This window comes from Homo sapiens, chromosome 4, assembly GCF_000001405.40.
Source record: "Homo sapiens chromosome 4, GRCh38.p14 Primary Assembly".
Lineage (NCBI taxonomy): Eukaryota > Metazoa > Chordata > Mammalia > Primates > Hominidae > Homo > Homo sapiens.
Window position 1 is genome coordinate 138,981,368 of NC_000004.12, and position 19,076 is coordinate 139,000,443.

Below are 19,076 nucleotides of genomic sequence, written 5' to 3' on the forward strand. Positions count from 1 at the left end.
TGCAGTGGCTCACGCCTGTAATCCCAGCACTTTGGGAGGCTGATGCAGGTGGATCATGAGGTCAGGCGTTCGAGATCAGCCTAGCCAACATGGTGAAAACCCGTCTCTACTAAAAATAAAAAATAAAAAATTAGCCAGCCATGGTGGCAGGCGCCTGTAATCCCAGCTACTTGGGAGGCTGAGGCAGGAGAATCGCTTGAACCTGGGAGGCAGAAGTTGCAGTGAGCCGAGATCATGCCACTGCATTCCAGCCCAGGCAACAGTGTGAGATTCCGTCTCAAAAAAAAAAAAAAAAAAAAATGTAGATTTTTTTGTTGTCTCACTTTTGGATTTTTAAAGTTAACAATTACATTATATATATGTAATTACATATACGTATTTGACCTCTTCAGGCTCGGGTGATACATAAATATATTAATTGAGAATTTACATGCCATCCAAGTGAAAGTGACAGTTCAGCATATATAATAAATATATATATATTTTAGTTAACAAATATACACATATTTGTTAACTTCAAAAACTCAAGGACTGATAGAAAAAAATGACAAGGATTACAGAGAACAAACCAAAAGTGAATTTAAAAGAAGGATTTCTTAGAGGCCACCATCTGAATTCAAATGTATCTGCCAGTAGGGGCAGGAGCAGGAGAGGATGAAGTCACAGTACGATTGCAAAATGCTGCCAATCCACTTAGAGTTGTTTACTGACCTCTTCCCCACTTGCTTCCTCCCAGTCTTTGGAGAACATAACTGAGAGTTCTAAATTCTAATTTTCTTCTCATAGACACTTCCATGGGAAATCATGATGTAATTCACGAATGTCCCTGTTGCCAACTTTAGCCATTTAATATCACGGAAATCTGCTAAGGAAATGTTTGTGCTATTTCCCATCCAGCCTGGCAAAGGGCAGGCCCCTTTGACATATTGAGAAAAGTTGCCAGAGACATTTTCTGGTAAACTGACACAGTTCCTGGGGCTCGGAAAAAGAAACAGATCCCTCTAACAGGCCAAGACAGACACCAAGAAAGGGAGCCAGAGAACAAAGCAAGCAGATTTTGTCTTTTTTAACTGAACTTTTTCCTTTGACATTATTATTGATTTATATGGAGTTGCAAGAAATGCTACAAAGAGATTTCCTATACCCTTTGCACACTTTCCCCAATGGTAACATCTTGCAGAATGATACTACAATATCACAACCAGAATATTGACAATGAACAGTCAAGACACAGAACAGCTCCATCACCACAAGAATTCCTAACGGTGGTCCTTTATAGCATCGTCTACTTCCCTCCCACCTTCTCCCCCTCCTTAACCCCTAGCAATTGTAGGTAAGAAAATATAATTTCTTTTCTTTCCCTTTATAGGTTCATAGTTGAGACACTCTCCTAAAAATAAAAATCAGATTAACAGAAGAAAAATAGGCCGGGCACGGTGACTCGCACCTATAATCCCAGCATGTTGGGAGGCCAGAGGCAGGCAGATTGCTTGAGCCTAGGGATTCCAGACCAGGCTGGCCAATATGGCGAAGCCCCATCTCTACTAAAAATACAAAACTTAGTTGGGCGGGGTGATGTGCACCTGTAGTCCCAGCTACCTGGGGGGCTGAGAATCACCTGAGCCTGGGGAGATCAAAACTGTAGTGAGTTGAAATCGTGCCACTGCATTCCAGCCTGATCAATCATCGGAATGAGACTTGTCTCAAAAAACAAAAACAAAACAAAACAAAAAAAGAACAGAAGACAGGGTGCAGTGGCTCATGCCTGTAATTCCAGCACTTTGGGAAGCTGAGGTGAGTGGATCACCTGAGGTCAGGAGTTCCAGACCAGCCTGGCCAACATGGTGAAACCCCGTCTCTACTGAAAATACAAAAATTAGCCGCGCATGGTGGCACATGCCTGTAATCCCAGCTACTCAGGAGGCTGAGGTGAGAGAATCACTTGAACCCGGGAGGCAGAGGTTGCAGTGAGCCGAGATCACGCCATTTGCACTCCAGCCTGGGTAACAAGAGTGAAACTCCATCTCAAAAGAAAAGAAAACAAAAAATAAAAGAACAGAAAAGCAGAAGTTCAATGTGTGCTGTATCTACCCATCATGAGGGAAAGGCCCTTGTTCAAAAGTATTTCTCTCTCTGGGCCGGGTGCAGTGGCTCACACCTGTAATCCCAGCACTTTGGGAGGCTGAGGTGGGTGGGTCACATGAGGTCAGGAGTTCGAGACCACCCTGGCCAACGTGGTAAAACCCCACCTCTACTAAAAATACAAAAATTAGCCAGGTGTGTGTGTGGGCACCTGTTGTCCCAGCTACTGGGGAGGCTGAGGCAGGAGAATCGCTTGAACCCAGAAGGCGGAGGTTGCAGTGAGCCAAGATCACAAGGCTATACTCCAGCCTGGGGGACAAGAGCGAAACTCTTGTCTCGTAGAAAAATAATAATAAAGAATTTCTCTCTCAAGGCAGTGGCTTAGGGACCTTGCTTAAGTAGCATTTTAACAAAGAACCATAAATCTTACATAATGACAGGACAAGGGAGACAGCAGTTCTAGTCAGTTATTCATTTTATCTATTTATGACAGGGTTTCTCTCTGTTGCCCAGTTTGGAGGCATTGGCGCCATCATAGCTCACTGCAGCCTCAACCTCTTGGCCTCAAGCAATCCTCCCATCTCAGCCTCCAGAGTAGCTAGGACTAGAGGCATGTGCCACCACACCCTTCTCATTTTTTTTTTTTTATTTTTTTGTAGAGACAAGGTCCTGCTCTGTTGCCCAAGCTGGAGTTCTAGGGGTTTAAAAGGTGGGAAAATGTGGGAAGACAGTAAAGTCTTTCCCAGATTCCTCTGGTGTCTGCTGGCCCCTTCTCTGTGCCAATACACAAGTGCTGTCTCCAGTAAGGAAGGATATATGTCTCACCATCAGGCAAAAGAGGCTGAGGCAGAGTGTTCCCTGGCACTTTCAATGCCTTTAATGTAACAATCCTCAATATTTGGGGGAGAAATATTTTGGTTTCCTTCACAATCATTCATCTGTCCACTTCTATAATTTTATTAGCACAGGATGTTATAAAAATGGAATCATACAATATATAACCTTTTAGAATTTAATTTTCTGGCGATAAATCCAGTGGCTTTGTGTACAATAGTTCTCTTTCTATTGCTAAGTAGAATCCCATAGTATGAATGTATCAACTTGAAACAACCCAGATGACCTCCAAAGGGTAAATGATGACAATTAGAGTTCATCTGGGTTGTCTCAAGTTCTTAGCTATTTACTAATAAAACTGCTAAAAATATTTACGTACAGATTTTTGTACATAAGTCTTCATTTCTAGGATCAATACCCAGCAGTACAATTACTGAGTTGTAAGGTAGTTGCATATTTAGTTTTACAGACAACTGACAAACTGTTTTCTAAAGTGGCTGTAACATTTTAAATGTCACCAACAATGAATGAGTGGATCCAGTTTGTCCCCATCCTTGTCAACATTTGTTGTTGCCAATATTAATTTTAGCCATTCTGATAGGTATATAGTGAGATCTCATTGTGATTTTAATTTGCATTTCACTAATAGTTAATGCTGCTGAGCATCTTTTCATGTGCTTATTTTCTACCTGTACATCTTTTTTGGTAAAATGTCTCTTCATGTCTTTTGCCCATATTCTTTTTTTTTTTTTTTTTTTTGAGACAGAGACTTGCTCTGTTGCTCAGGCTGGAGTGCTGTAGTGTGATCATGGCTCACTGCAGCCTTGACCTCCTGGGTTCAAGAAGCATATCCTCCCCAAGTAGCTAGGACTACAGGTGAGCACCACCACACCTGGCTAATTTTTTTATTTTTGTAGAGACAGAGTCTTGCTTTGTTGCCCAGGCTGCTCTAGAACTCCTGGCCTCAAGCAATCCTCCTGCCTCGGCCTCCCAACTGCTAGGATTATAGGCATGAGCCACTGTGCCCAGCTCCGTGTTTTAAGTGAATTGTTCTTTTTAGTATTGAGTTTTCAGAGTTCTTTTTATAGTCTAGATGCTAGTCCTTTGTAGAATATATGGTTTGCAAATATTTTCTCCCACTCTGAGCTTATCTTTTTATCCTCTTATGTCATTTGCAGAACAATAGTTTTAATTTAGACCAAGTCCAATTTATCAACTTTCCTCCCAAAAATGTGCTTTTACCGTCAAATCTAAGAATTCCTTACCTAATCCTAGATCCTGAAGATTTTCTCTTATTTTTTCTGAAAGTATTACAGTTTTACATTTTATATTTAAGTTTGTGATCCATTTTGAGTTTATTTTTATATAAATTATAAGAATTATAATTTATAGGCCCACGCCTATATATATTACAGGCCCACGCCTGTAATCCCAGCACTTTGGGAGGCCAAGGTGGGTGGATCACCTGAGATTGGGAGTTCAAGACCAGCCTGACCAACATGGAAAAACCTCCTCTCTACTAAAAATACAAAACTAGCCAGGCATGGTGGCACATGCCTGTAAATCCCAGCTACTCGGGAGGCTGAGGCAGGAGAATCACTTGAACCCAGGAGGCAGAGGTTGCAGTGAACCAAGATTGTGCCATTGAACTCCAGCCTGGGCAACAAGAGCGAAACTCCATCTCAAAAAAAAAAAAAAAGAAAAAAAGAAAAAAAGAATTAGAGGCTGGGAAACATAGTGAGACCTCATCATTACAAAAAAAAATTTTTTTAATTAGCCAGGATTAGCCAAGCATTGTGGCATGCACCTGTAGTTCCAGTTACTTGGGAGGCTGAGGTGGGAGGATCTCTTGAGCCCAGGAGTGTGAGGCTGCAGTGAGCTATGATGGTGCTATTGCATTCTGGCCTGGGTAGCAGAACAAGACCCTGTCTCAAAAAAAAAAAAAAAAAAGAATTAGGTCATTATGTCATGGTACTTTTTTTGGTCAATGCACGTCCACTTGCTCTAGCACCCTTTGTTGAAAAGGCTACCTATCCTCCATTGAGTTGCTTTTGTATCTTTGTCAAAAATCAGTTGGCTCATGCCTGTGATCCCAGAACTTTAGGAGGCCAAAGCAGGAGGATATCTTGAGCCCAGTAGTTCAAGACCAGCCTGGACAATATAGGGAGACCCTATCTCTTTTTTTTTTTTTTTTGAGATGGAGTTTTGTTCTGTCGCCCAGGCTGGAGTGCAGTGGCGTGATCTTGGCTCACTGCAAGTTCCGCCTCCCAGGTTCACGCCATTCTCCCGCCTCAGCTTCCCGAGTAGCTGGGACTACAGGTGCCCGAGACCACACCCGGCTAATTTTTTGTGTTTTTTTAGTAGAGACGGGGTTTCACCATGTTAGCCAGGATGGTCTCAATCTCCTGACCTCGTGATCCACCCGCCTCAGCCTCCCAAAGTGCTGGGATAACAGGCATGAGCCACCACGCCAGGCTTTTTTTTTTTTTTTTTTTTTTTTTGAGACAGAATTTTGCTCTTGTCGCCCAGGCTGGAGTGCAATGGCGTAATCTCAGCTCACTGCAATCTCTGCCTCCAGGGTTCAAGCGATTCCCCTGTGTCAATCTCCCAACTAGCTGGGATTACAGGCTCCCGCCACCGTGCCCGCTAATTTTTGTATTTTCAGTGGAGATGGGGTTTCACCATGTTGGCCAGGCTGGTCTCGAACTCCTGACCTCAGGTCATCCAACCACCTTGGCCTCCCAAAGTACTGGGATTACAGGTGTGAGTCACTGCGCCCGGCCACGAGACCCTATCTCTATTAAAAAAAAATTTTTTTTAATCAGTTGGGCATATTAACATTGGTCTATTTTTGAGTTCTTTATTTTGTTCCTTTAATCTATTTTCTATCCCTCTGCTAATACCACACAGTTGCGATTACTATAGCTATTTAAGCCTTGAAATAGGGTAGACTGATTTATCCTACTTTATTCTTCTTTTGCAAAAATGTTTTAGCTATTCTAGTTCTTTTGCCTTTCCTGATAAATTTTTAAATACACTTCTCTGTATCTACAAGGAATTGTTGGAATTTTTATAGGAATTGCATTAAGCCTACATATCAATTTGGGAAGAATTATCATTTTTGTTATGCTGAGTCTTTCAATCCATGAATGCTGTATGCCTTTCCATTTATTTAGATCTGCTTTGATTTCTTTCTTTAGCATCGTGTGGTTTTCAGCATACAAGTGTTGTACATATTCTGTTAGATTTACAGTTTTTTTTTTATTTTTATTTTTTTCTGGGTTGTTTGTTTGTTTGAGACAGAGTCTCACTCCATCACCCGTGCTGGAGAGCAGTGGCACAGTCTCAGCTCACTGCAACCCCTGCCTCCCAGGTTCAAGTGATTCTCCTGCCTCAGCCTCCTGAGTAGCTGGAATTACAGGCGTGAGCCACCATGCCTGGCTAATTTTTGTTTTTTTAGTAGAGACAAGGTTTTGCCTTGTTGGCCGGGGTGGTCTTGAACTCCTGACCTCAAGTGATCCTCCCGCCTTGGCCTCCCAAAGTGTTGGGATTACAGGCGTGAAACACCACGCCCAGCCTTTTCTGTTTTTAGTGACTATAAATGGTATTGTTGTCCAGGCACAGTGGTTCACACCTGTAATCCCAGCACTTTGGGAGTCTGAGGTGGGCGGATCACAAGGTCAGCAGATCGAGACCAGCCTGGCCAGCATGGTGAAACCCCGTCTGTACTAAAAATACAAAAATTAGCTGGGCATGGTGGCGTGTGCCTGTAGTCCCAGCTACTCAGGAGGCTAAGGCAGGAGAATCACTTGAACCCGGGAGGCAGAGATTGCAGTGAGCCAAGATTGTGCCACTGCACTCCAGCCTGGGCGACAGAGTGAGACGCTGTCAAAAAATTAAAAAAAAAATTTTTTTAATTGGTATTGTCGCCCAGGCTGGAGTGCAATGGCATGATCACAGCTCACTGCAGCCTCAGCCATCTGGGCTCAAACAATCCTCCCATCTCAGCCTCCTCCCCGACTTCCCCTAGTAGCTAGGTCCACAGGAGTGTGTCACCACACCCAGCTAATTTTGGTTTTAAACTCCTGAGCCCATGGCTGCCTACCTCCGCCTCCCAAAGTGCTGGGATTTCCATGCCCAGCCTGGTATTATATTTTTAATTCCAGCATCTACATGTTTATTGTTGGTATACAGAAATCCAATTGATTTTGTATGTTTATTTTGCATCTTGTGACCTTGCTGAGCTCACTTATTAGCTCTAGGATTTCTTTTTGTCGATTCTTTGGGATTTTCTACCAAGAATATCATATTATCTGCAAATAGGAACAGTTTTATTTCCTCCTTTGCATTGGTGTGCCTTTTATTTCCTTTACTTGCCTTATTGCCTTGGCTAGAACTTCCAAAATTATAACTGGATCAAGACTGAGTGAGAGTGGGTATCTTCGCTTCATTCCTGATCTTAGAGGGTATTATGGGCTAAAATGTTTCCCTCCTACCCCTCTGCCCAAATTCATATGTTGAAGCTATAATCCCCTTTACCTCAAAATATGACTGTATCTGGAGATAGGGTGATATGATTTGAATCTGTGTCCCCACCAAATCTCATGTCAAATTGTAATCCCCATTGCTGGCGGTGGGGCCTGGTGGGAAATGATTGGATCATGTGGGTGGAGTTCTCATGAATGGGCTAGCACCATCCCCTTGGTGCTATCATTCTCATAATAGTGAGTGAGTGAGTGAGTGAGTGAGTGAATTGTTGTGAGATCTGGTTGTTTAAAAGTGTGTGGCACCTCACTCCTGTCTGTCTCCCTCCTGCTCAGGCCACGTAAGATGCTTGCTCCTGCTTTGCCTTCCACCATGATTGGAAGCCTACTGAGGCCTCCCCAGAAGCAGAAGCTGCCATGCTTCCTGTACAGCCTACAGAACCGTGAGCCAATTAAACCTGTTTTCTACATTAGTGTCACTAAAGTTGGTATACAATCCCCTCCACTACTAAATTTGACTGGCTTTTTTAAAAAAGAGAAAAAAGAACAACAACAACAAAACTATTTTCTTTATAAATTACCCTGTCTCAGATATTTCTTTGTAACAGTGTGAAAACAGACTAATACATGAGGTCTTTAAAAGGTAATCAAATTAAGATAAGGTCACTAAGGTGGGCCCTAATTTAATATGGCTGGGGTCCTTATGAGAAATGATTAGACCATCCTGGCTAACACGATGAAACCCCGTCTCTACTAAAAATACAAAAAATTAGCCAGGCGTGGTGCTGCCTGTAGTCCCAGCTACTCAGGAGGCTGAGGCAGGAGCATGGTGTGAACCCAGGAGGTGGAGCTTGCAGTGAGCCGAGATCACACCATTGCACTCCAGCCTGGGGACAGAGGGAGACTCTGCCTCAAAAAAATAAAAAATAAAAATAAATAAAAGAAGAGATTAGAACACAGACTCATAAAGGGAAGACCACGGGAAGACACAGGGAGAAGGCAGCCATCTACAAGTCAAGGAGAGAGGCCTCAGAGGACACCAACCCCACTGACACTTTGATCTTGGCCTTCCAGCCTCCAGAACTGTGAGAAAATAAATTTCTGTTGCTTAAGCCAACCAGTCTGTGGTACTTCGTTATAGCAACCCCAGCAAACTAAAGGTGTAAAGCATGCAGTTTTCACCATTAAATATGTTGGCTGTAGTTTTTTGTTTTTTTGAGAGAGTCTCACCCTGTCACCCAGGCTGGAGTGCAATAGCACAATCTCAGCTCACTGCAACCTCTGCCTCCAGGGTTCAAGCGATTCTCCTGCCTCAACCTCCCAAGTATCTGGGACTACAGGCATGCACCACCACGCTCAGCTAATTCTTGTATTTTTAGTAAAGGTGGGGATTCACAAAGTTGGCCAGGCTGGTCTTGAACTCCTGAGCTCAAATGATCTGCCCATCTCGGCCTCCCAAAGTGCTAAGGTTATAGGCTTGAGCCACCATGCCCAGCCAGCTGTAGTCTTTTTGTAAATATTCTTTATCAAATTGAAGAAGTCCTTCTCTAGTCCTATTTTTCTGAGTGTTTTTATCACAAATGGGTGCTAAATTTTGTCAATTGTTCTTTCTCCATCAATATACTTATGTGGCCAGATGCAGTGGCTCACGCCTGTAATCCCTGCACTTTGGGAGGCCAAGGTGGGCTGATCACTTGAGGTCAGGAGTTTGAGACTGGCCTTACCAACGTGGTGAAACCCTGTCTCTACTAAAAATACAAAAATTAGCCAGGCATGGTGGTGCATGCCTGTAATCCCAGCTACTCAGGAGGCTGAGGCAGGAGAATCGCTTGAACCCAGGAGGTGGAGGTTGCAGTGAGCCTAGATTGCACCACTGCACTCCAGGCTAGGCAACAGAGACTCCATCTCCAAAAAAAAAAAAATTATGTGATTTTTCTTCTTTAGGATGTTAATATAATAGATTATATTTGATTAATTTGAAATATTGAACTAGCCTTGCATCTCTGGAATAAATCTCATTTGGTCATGGCATGTAATTATTTTTGTAAATTGTCTAATTCTGTTTGCTAATATTTTGTTAAGAAATTTTGCATCTATATGCATGGGGGATGTTGGTCTGTGGTTTTCTTTTGGGTATTGTCTTTGATTTTGGTGTGAGGTGTGAGAAGTGTTTCCTCTTCTATTTTCTGACAGAAATTGCATAAAATTGGTGTTACTTCTTTAAATGTTTGGTAGAATTTCCCAATGAAGTTATCCAGACTTAGAAATTTCTTTATAAGAAATTTTTTATTTAATTTTGGTTTTAAAATTATGACTCAGTTGATTTAATAATTAAAGGGCTGGGCGCAGTGGCTCACGCCTGTAATCCTAGCACTTTGGGAGGCCAAGGTGGGTGGATTACCTGAGGTCAGGAGATTAAGACCAGCCTGGCCAACATGGCGAAACCCCATCTGTACTAAAAATACAAAAATTAGCCGGATGTGGTGGCAGGCACCTATAATCTCAGCTATCAAGAGGCTGAGGTAGGAGAATCGCTTGAGCCCAGGGAGTAGAGGTTGCAATGAGCCGAGATCACACCAATTCACTCCAGCCTAAGCGAAAGAGCGAAACTCCATCTCAAATTATGATTCTAGGCTGGGAGCGGTGGCTCACGCCTGTAATCCCAGCACTTTGGGAGTCCGAGGCAGGAGGATCACGAGGTCAGGAGTTCAAGACCAGCCTGGCCAAGATGGTGAAACCCTGTCTCTATTAAAAATACAAAAATTAGCCAGATGTGGTGGCTAGTGCCTGTAATCCCAGCTACTCGGGAGGCTGAGGCAGAAACTGCTTGAACCCGGGAGGTGGAGGTTGCAGTGAGCTGAGATCACACCACTGCACTCCAGCCTGGGTGACAGAGCGAGACTCCATCTCAAAAAATAAATAAATAAAATAAATATAATTTAAAAATAAATAAATAAAAATAAAATAATAATTATAGGAGTATTCAAATTATCTGAATTGTGATAGTTGTGTTTTTGAGAAATGGTCATTTCATCTAAGTTGTAAAATTTATGTGTGTGGAGTTGTGCCTTGTATTGTCTATTTATCCTACTCATTTTTAAATATGCTGATCTATTTAATTTTTGTTCCCAGATGGAAAAGAGCTTTATTGTTTTCATTACAGTAAAAAATAGAACATACCCATAGAAAAATATATATATAATATAGAATATTTCCCATAAAAGGAAGTAAATCTAACCAATCAAAGATGTTAACATTCTAGTGAAGAACCTTTCAGACATCCATCTATCCACCCACACAAATACATGAATGTATACATAGATATGTATTTTATATAAATAGGATCATATTATACATGTTCATCTGTAACCATCCCTTTCATTCGACAAATCTATGTCAGTGTAGGTCTACACCATCATTTATGATGACCACAAGATATTCCATTGTGTGAATATATTATAATTTACTTAACCCTATCTGATGTTGATTGTCAAATGGCTAAGTTGTTTCTAGTCTTTTATATAAACAACACTGTGGGTGAATATCCTTGTTCATTTAGCTACAGATGTGTAGCTAACTCTTTAGAATTATTTCCTAAGAGAAAGATTACTGGTACGTTCATTGAAAATTCTGATCAATGTTACATAGATATATTATGTAGGAAAAAGAAGAAGAAAGAAGAAGAAGAAAAGAAGGGGAAGAAGGGGAGGAGGAGATGAAGGAGAAGAAGAAGAGGAAGAAGAGGGAGGAGGAGGAGGAAGAAGGAGGAGGAGGAGGTGGAGGAGGAGGAGGAGGAGAAGGAAAAACTCTGATACATATGATCAAACTACATTCCACAAAAATATATTACCCTATCATCACCTTGCAAACACTGTACTTTTTTTCCCCTCCTTGCCAAAATAATTTGTGAAAAATAATCAGGTTTTTTTGGTAATACTGTAGTTGTTGTTTTGCTTTTCTTTGATTACTTATGAGATTGATGTGTTTATGGGGTTTTTTTGTTTTCTTTTGTCTTGTCATTTGTGTTTCCTCTTCAAGCACTACCTAGAAGCAGAAGGTTTCATTAGGCACTCTAGAGAGGATGTCCCCAACCCCCAGGCTGCAGACCCATACAGTCTGTGGCCTGTTAGGAACCAGGCGGCACAGCAGGAGGTGAGCATGGGCAACTAAGCATTACCGCCTGATCTCTGCCTCCTGTCAGATCAGTGGCAGCATTAGATTCTCATAGGAGCACAAACCCTATTGTGAACTGCATGTGCAAGGGATCTAGGTTGCATACTCCTTATGAGAATCTAATGCCTGATGATCTGAGTTGGAACAGTCTCATCCCCAAACCATTCCCCCACCCCGTCCGTGGAAAAATTGTCTTCCATTAAACCAGTCCCTGGTGCCAAACAGGTTGGGGATCGCAGCTATAGAGGGCTGATTTAAGAAGCCCTCTTGGCCAGGCATGGTGGCTCATGCCTGTAATTAAAACACTTTGGGAGGCTGAGGCAGGAGGATCATGAGGTCAGGAGTTCAAGACCAGCCTGGCCAATATAGTGAAACTCTATCTCTACTAAAAACACAAAAATTAGCCGGGCATGGTGGTGCGCATCAGTAGTCCCAGCCACTCGGCAGGCTGAGGCAGCAGAATCGCTTGAACCTGGGAGGCAGAGGTTGCATTGAGCTGAGATGATGCCACTGCACTCTAGCCTGGGCAACAGAGTGAGATTTTGTCTCAAAAAAAAAAAAAAAAAAAAGAAACCCTCTTAAAGAAACCCTCTTATTGGAAAATAAGATCCAGCTTTAATACCTTTCCTAAAAACCATGGCAGCTTAAGTAGTTTCATGTTTTTCTAATTTTTTGTTGTTGTTTTTGTAGAGACAAGGTCTCACTATGTTGCCCAGGCTGGTCTTGAACTCCTGGGCTAAAGTGATCCTCCTGCCTTGGCCTCCCAAACTGCTAGGATTACAGGCATGAGCCACCAAGCCCAGCCCTCATGTTTTCTAATTTTACTGAAAAGTATTCTTATATCCTTGATATAAAAGAATAAAATAAAAACCTAGTTGGGGATGGATGGGTGATGATGGATTGCATGACAATGTGAATATATTTAATGCCACTAACTGTACACTTAAAAGTTGTTAAAAAGGTAAATTTTATGTTTTATATATTTTACCATAGTTTTTTAAACCCAGTTGGGGAAGATAGATATAGATATTTTTGCATACAAACAAGAACTTTGACTTCATTAGTTTATGACAGAAGAATTGACTCTCAGTCTACTCTCCTTAAAAGAAAAAAAATGAGATTAAAGAAAGCGTGGCCAATATTCCACTTTCATGTTCCATACACTAAGAAATATGAGCTTCTTAAAAATTTAAATCTATCCTTGTTTTATTTTGAGATGTATAAAATAATAAATAATATCATCAATAAACTTAATAAGTAACGGGTACATTAGAGAAACATAAATAAATGATATCCTCATCTTAAATACTTTGCTTATATGCCACAAATTTACTTCCAAAAATAATGATACTACATGTAAGTTCATTTATATATCAAACTATGTTTGAGACAAAATAATTTATCAAATCTTCTGGGATGATGGCTTTTTTTTTTTTTTTTTTTGAGACAGAGTTTCACTCTTTGTTGCCCAGGCTGGAGTGCAACGGCGTGATCTCAACTTACTGAAGCCTCCATCTCCCGGGTTCAAGTGATTCTCCTGCCTCAGCTCCCGAGTATCTGGGATTACAGGCATGCACCACCACGCCTGGCTAATTTTGTAGTTTTAGTAGAGACAGAGTTTCTCCATGTTGGTCAGGCTGGTATTGAACTCCTGGCCTCAGGTGATCTGACTGCCTCGGCCTCCCGAAGTGCTGGGATTGATGGCTTTTAAAGTTCCTTTTATGCTTCGGTTCTAGTTCAAAAGGCTTAGAGGTCCTCTTCCTGCCACTTGCTGATGTTTTTCGGTAACGTTATTCAGTAATTTGATCACATTTCATTATTGACTGTCATTTTCATTAACACCTACTAATATTTCCCCAGCTTCTGTTAGAGACTGACTACCTGGCTTGGTGACACAGGTCCTGTGGCCAGATCATTGAGTCATCACATGCAACTAGGACCTTCCAATAGTCTAGGGAACCACAGTTGAATTGTGGAAAAGTCTGGAAAAGGACTAAGAGAAGACCTTGCCCTTGCTTTGGGGGCTCTGATGCCCAAGTTCTCCTGTGGAACCTCTGCTCTCTTCACATATACACAGAACCTTCCTTACAGTGCTGGGACTCAGGAAGAAAGGATTCTTAGGGGTATGGAAAGGGGGTTGGAAGTGGAGTCTTCTGCTCCTGCTATTTGCCTGGTACCCACGGTCTTCAGGTAAGAGGTCGCTGAGGAGATAGCAGAGTCCAATTCCATTCTGACCACCTCCCCTTACAACCCATTCTCCACCCACATGCCAAATGTTTTATGTTTCATATTTTATGTTTCTTGATTTGCTTTATATTTAAAAACACAAATCAGGTGTAGTCATTCCTGTGTTGCTTACCCTCCAATGACTTTCCATTGCTTTTAGAATGAAATCCAAACTCCTATGACAGCTGTGACCTGGCTCCTGCCACACTGACTCCCCTTTCTGTCCTAGGGAATGTCACCAAATGCTTTCCCAGCTCCAGCTCTTCCTAAAGGTAGGCTCATTCTCACCCTCCAGTTCCAATTCAAATATCACTCGCTCTCTATCACATTGTCTTATTTACTTCCTTCACAGCACTGACCACACTCTATATCTATCGTGTTTATTTTTATTTTTTTGGATTATTGTCTGTCTCTCCTCCCTCAATTAGAATGTAAGTTCCATACAGACACCTTTGTCTGTCTTGTGTATTGCATCCCCAGCATCTAGCACTGTGCCTGGAATGTGCTAAGTGAGCAACATGAGTGTTTGTGGAATGACCCCTATACCCTCCACCCCAAATCAGCATAATTGTCCATAAAACTGAGCTTCCCAATACATACGAACTTGTGGAAAAACCAGTACCTTGCAATCCTAGAATTTATAATCTAAGGTTCATTCTTAAAGAAAAAGACAAATAGTCAATGTGCTAGAAGAGTGTCTCTGTCCTACCCCCAAAACAGATAAAAAAAATCAAGATGAACTTACCATTTTGAAAGGAAAACACATAGTGGCCTATACCCACATCTTCCCAGGTGTGGAAAAGACCAGATATTTGCTGAACTTCTATGTAGGCTCTATCCTCAGGAAGATGTAACTGGAATGTAGAGATGTAAAGCATAAACCTCTTTTGAGTTGTACTCAGAGACATGGTTTGAATGGAGTCTAGAAAAATGCACACGAGAAGCAAGAATCCACCTGTGTGTATCAAACACTGTACACTCTAGGGGAAAGAATATCTGTTTTTAAATAACCTTCTTTAAACATAATTATTCCCAAATGCCGAAAAGAAATCCTTTCATAGCGAGCACACCAATAGGAACTGTGACACGCCCAGCTGGCTCCCGTGCAGTCCCCTCCTGCTCTTCCTTCTAGCCTGTTGACCCAGGCACTACAGCCAGCGGTAGCTTCTCCCCAGTTGTTCTAGACAAGCTCCTTCCAAGGAAGCTGTAAGTTACCCAGGAGGTGGGGTGCTGGAAGTGAGGATGGTTTTTTCTCTCTTTTTTGAATGATTGAATGTCTTAAAGTGAGACTGTACTCATCTATTATTTAGATCAATTTTTTAAAATAATAAGAGAACATAATTTTACTTAAAAAACAAACCTCTAGCTTGCCTTCTCAGAATGAGACTCTCTGTCTTCCTGGTTGACAACCACTTGAAAAACAATTTGGTAAGTTTTTTTTTTCTTTACATACATATATATATATATATATATATATATATATATATATATATATATATATATATATATTAGACAGGGTCTTGCTCTGTCGCCCGGAATGGAGTGCAGTGCCACGATCTCGGCTCACTGCAACCTCCGCCTCCTGGGTTCAAGTGATTCTCCTGCCTCAGCCTCCCAAGTAGCTGGGATTACAGGCATGCACCATCATCCCCAGCTAATTTTTGTATTTTTAGTAGAGGTGAGGTTTTGCCATGTTGGTCAGGCTTGTCTCAAACTCCTGACCTCAAGTGATTCTCCCACCTCAGCCTGCGAAAGTGCTGGGATTACAGGCGTGAGCCACCATGCCTGGCCGGGAGGGAACTTTTTATGGTGATGGAAATGTTCTTATCTGTATTGTTGTGGTGATTGCATAAGTATATATATTTGTGAAAACTCAGAGAACTGTGCACTTACAAATGGAGGCAAATTTTGAGATCACTGAATTGCGAGGTATGACAGTTTAAGGCTGCTCATTTGGCAAATTGAAATGATCAGGAATCTGGCTGGGCACGATGGCTCATGCCTGTAATCCCAGCACTTTGGCAGACCGAGGCAGGCGGATCATGAGGTCAGGAGATCAAGACCATCCTGGCTAACACAGTGAAACCCCTTCTCTACTAAAAACACAAAAAAATTAGCCGGGCGTGGTGGCGGGCGCCTGTAATCCCAGCTACTTGGGAGGCAGAGGTAGGAGAATCATTTAAACCAGGGAGGCAGAGGTTGCAGTGAGCCGAGATCGCGCCACTGCACTCCATCCTGGGTGACAGAATGAGACTCCAACTCAAAAAAAAAAAAAAAAAAAAAAAAAGAAATGATCAGGAATCAAGGGTCTTCCTGGATGGCAGACATATACTCTTGAAAATTTGGCTTTGGTAATTGGACTTTCCCCTCATGACTGGTTGTCATTTTCAAAGTATATAGAAATAAAACTTTCTGCTCTCCAGCCCTCCCCTTGCTCCCTGTTAGGGCTTCTATTTAATTGATCTGATTGGGCAGTCCATGATCACCTCTCTAGTTAAGATACTGCCTTACTGATGTTGAGGATCCCCTAAACGAAGACTTTAACTAGAATCTGAGCCTTAGTCTTGGAAAGGCAGCATTGTGGTGACTTGGGGTTGTCGCTTCCAACAGAAATTCTTGCCTTAAGGTTTTTTGGGATTGTCGTTGTTTTGTTTTGTTTGTTTTTGAGACACTCACTCTGTTGCCCAGGCTGGAGTACAGTGGTGCCACTTACGGCTCACTTTAGCCTTGACCTCCGAAACTCAGGTGATCCTCCCACCTCAGCCTCCTGAGTACCTGGGACTACACGTGCGTGCCACTACGCCCAGCTAATTATTGTTTTTTGTTTTTTGTTTTTTTTTTTGTAGAAATGGGGTTTCACCACCGGGCGTGGTGGCTCACGCCTGTAATCCCACCACTTTGGGAGGCCGAGGCAGGCGGATCACGAGGTCAGGATATCGAGACCATCCTGGCTAACATGGTGAAACCCCATCTCTACTAAAAATACAAAAAATTAGCCGGGCGTGGAGGCGGGCGCCTGTAGTCCCAGCTACTCGGGAGGCTGAGGCAGGAGAATGGCATGAACCCGGGAGGCGGAGCTTGCAGTGAGCCGAGATCGCGCCACTGTACTCCAGCCTGGGCAACAGAGCGAGACTCTGCCTCAAAAAAAAAAAAAAAAAAAAAGAAATGGGGTTTCACCATGTTGTCCAGACTGGTCTCAAATACCTGGGCTCAAGCGATCTATCCACCTTGGCCTCCCAAAGTGCTAGGATTACAGGCATGAGTCACTGCACCCAGCCTTAAGGTTTTTTAAATTAATGTTTGTAAATGGGGAAAGCATACCTGAAATTGAAATAGAGGATACTGGAGTAGATGTGTGGTTCAAATAAACTGGCTTACAGCGTAACAAATTGGCAGCCTTTTGTTGCCAATTTACTAGATCTGTATTTTGGTTTTGTTTGTTTGTTTGTTTGTTTGTTTGTTGAGACAGAGTCTCGCCCTCTCGCCCAGGCTGGAGTGCAGTGGCGCGATCTCGGCTCACTGCAAGCTCCGCCTTCCGGGTTCACGCCATTCTCCTGCCTCAGCCTCCCAAGTAGCTGGGACTACAGGCGCCTGCCACCACGCCCGGCTAATTTTTTTGTATTTTTAGTAGAGATGGGGTTTCACCGTCTTAGCCAGGATCGTCTTGATCTCCTGACCTCGTGATCCGTCCGTCTCGGCCTCCCAAAGTGCTGGGATTACAGGCGTGAGCCACCGCGCCCGGCCTTGTTTGTTTGAGTTTCACTCTGTTACCCACCCAGGCTGGAGTGCAGTGACGCAATCTCAGCTCACTGCAACCTCTGCCTCCCTGGTTCAAGCAATTCTCCTGCCTCAGCTTCCCAAGTAGCTGGGATTAAAGGCATGCGCCACCACACCCAGCTAATTTTTGTAGTTTTAGTAGAGATGGGGTTTCACCATGTTGGTCAGGCTGGTCTCAAACTCCTGACCTCAGGTGATCTGCCTGCCTCGGCCTCCCAAAGTTCTGGGATTATAGGTGTGAGCCACCGTGCCCGGCCAGATCTGGTATTATTTTAAGAGATTCCTGAAGAAGCATTAGTTAAAAGTGATAGTAGAAAGACAGACATTTAATATTCTATGTGCTGCTTAGCTATTCCTGTTAGGTTCACTCCATTTCAGCCTGTTCATTAGCTCCCAAGGATGTCTGTGAGCAGATAAGTGGCGTCTTCGTGACAGTAATCCTTGGAGTGTGAGGCCTGCAGCACTGGGCCACGACCATGGAGGCTGCCTGTTAAAATGCAGGTTCCTGGGTTCTACCACAAACCTCTCGCACCTCCATGAGTGGACCAGGGACCTCCGTCTTGGATGATATCCCCAGTGATGTTAATGTGCTCCCGGTTTTGGGAATCATTGTTGCTTCCCTTTGGAGATAACTGTTGAAGATGGGAGGACACTGCTCTTCAGGAGACAGCAAAACACTCCTAAGAAGGCTGAAGGGCTGAGAGCCTACCTTACAGAGAAAACAGTGGCTAGCAGAGCTTCACAAAGCGCCAAACCAGGAGTTCGGGTCGTGTCGTCTTTGCAGGTGTCGCCAGCTGGAAGAAGACCTAGTGGCACTCTTGAAAACTGTGAGTCCTTTGTAGAAGATGCTGTGGCCTCGTACTCATGGAACCCATTTATGCATTTCCCCCTTTGGGAAAGTTGCATCACAAGGTTTCCTCCTGGCTTCCTAAAGTAAAACTTTCAGAGCTTTTTGCCCACAACAGGGAACTGACACTCCATGGTTACTAAGAAACTTTCAGACATCTGAGAGAGCAGGTCATCTTGAACTTGGTGGTCAAGAGCCCAGGCTGAACAGTAGTTCAGTCAAGTATCATGGCAATAATCCCAGCCAGCCCTGCAGAATTCACAGGAAGCCCAGCTCCTCCTCCCTTACAACTTCCCAGGACCACTTTGGACCCCTAACGGACTAGTCCCCACATGGCTCCACAGAGGTGACTTCGATGGTTCAAATGACTATCAGAAGAATCTGTACTGGAGCTAGGCAACCTTTGGGAATCACCAGATGAAGTTTTGGATGTAACTCACTGTTAGGGCCATTCAGCAAGATCTGTTAAGAAAGTGAAGCACCTTTGGGCCAGACACGGTGGCTCACGCCTGTAATCCTAGCACTTTGAGAGGCCAAGGTGGGTGAATCATTTGAGGTCAGGAGTTCAAGGCCAGCCTGGCCAACATGGTGAAACCTCATTTCTACTAAAAATACAAAAAATTAGCCCGACAGTAGTGGTGCATGCCTATAAT

General features: G+C 43.0%; 1 long non-coding RNA gene across 1 annotated transcript in view, besides 2 other annotated features; it reads right to left on the bottom strand.

Annotated features, from left to right (window-relative positions):
* LOC105377448 (uncharacterized) overlaps positions 1–19,076 on the bottom strand; it is a 192,690-nt gene that overhangs the window by 161,411 nt on the left and 12,203 nt on the right. Inside the window, exon 2 of the long non-coding RNA NR_133945.1 lies at positions 14,545–14,653. This is a non-coding gene — a long non-coding RNA (uncharacterized LOC105377448). The remainder of the gene's footprint in view (positions 1–14,544; positions 14,654–19,076) is intronic.
* Positions 1,950–1,999: an enhancer, noted in NCBI's record as "active region_21915". NCBI's record gives its function as "activates an Ori minimal core promoter by ATAC-STARR-seq in GM12878 lymphoblastoid cells {active_cell/tissue: GM12878}" and the evidence as "EXISTENCE:reporter gene assay evidence [ECO:0000049][PMID:35858748]".
* Positions 2,010–2,069: an enhancer, noted in NCBI's record as "active region_21916". NCBI's record gives its function as "activates an Ori minimal core promoter by ATAC-STARR-seq in GM12878 lymphoblastoid cells {active_cell/tissue: GM12878}" and the evidence as "EXISTENCE:reporter gene assay evidence [ECO:0000049][PMID:35858748]".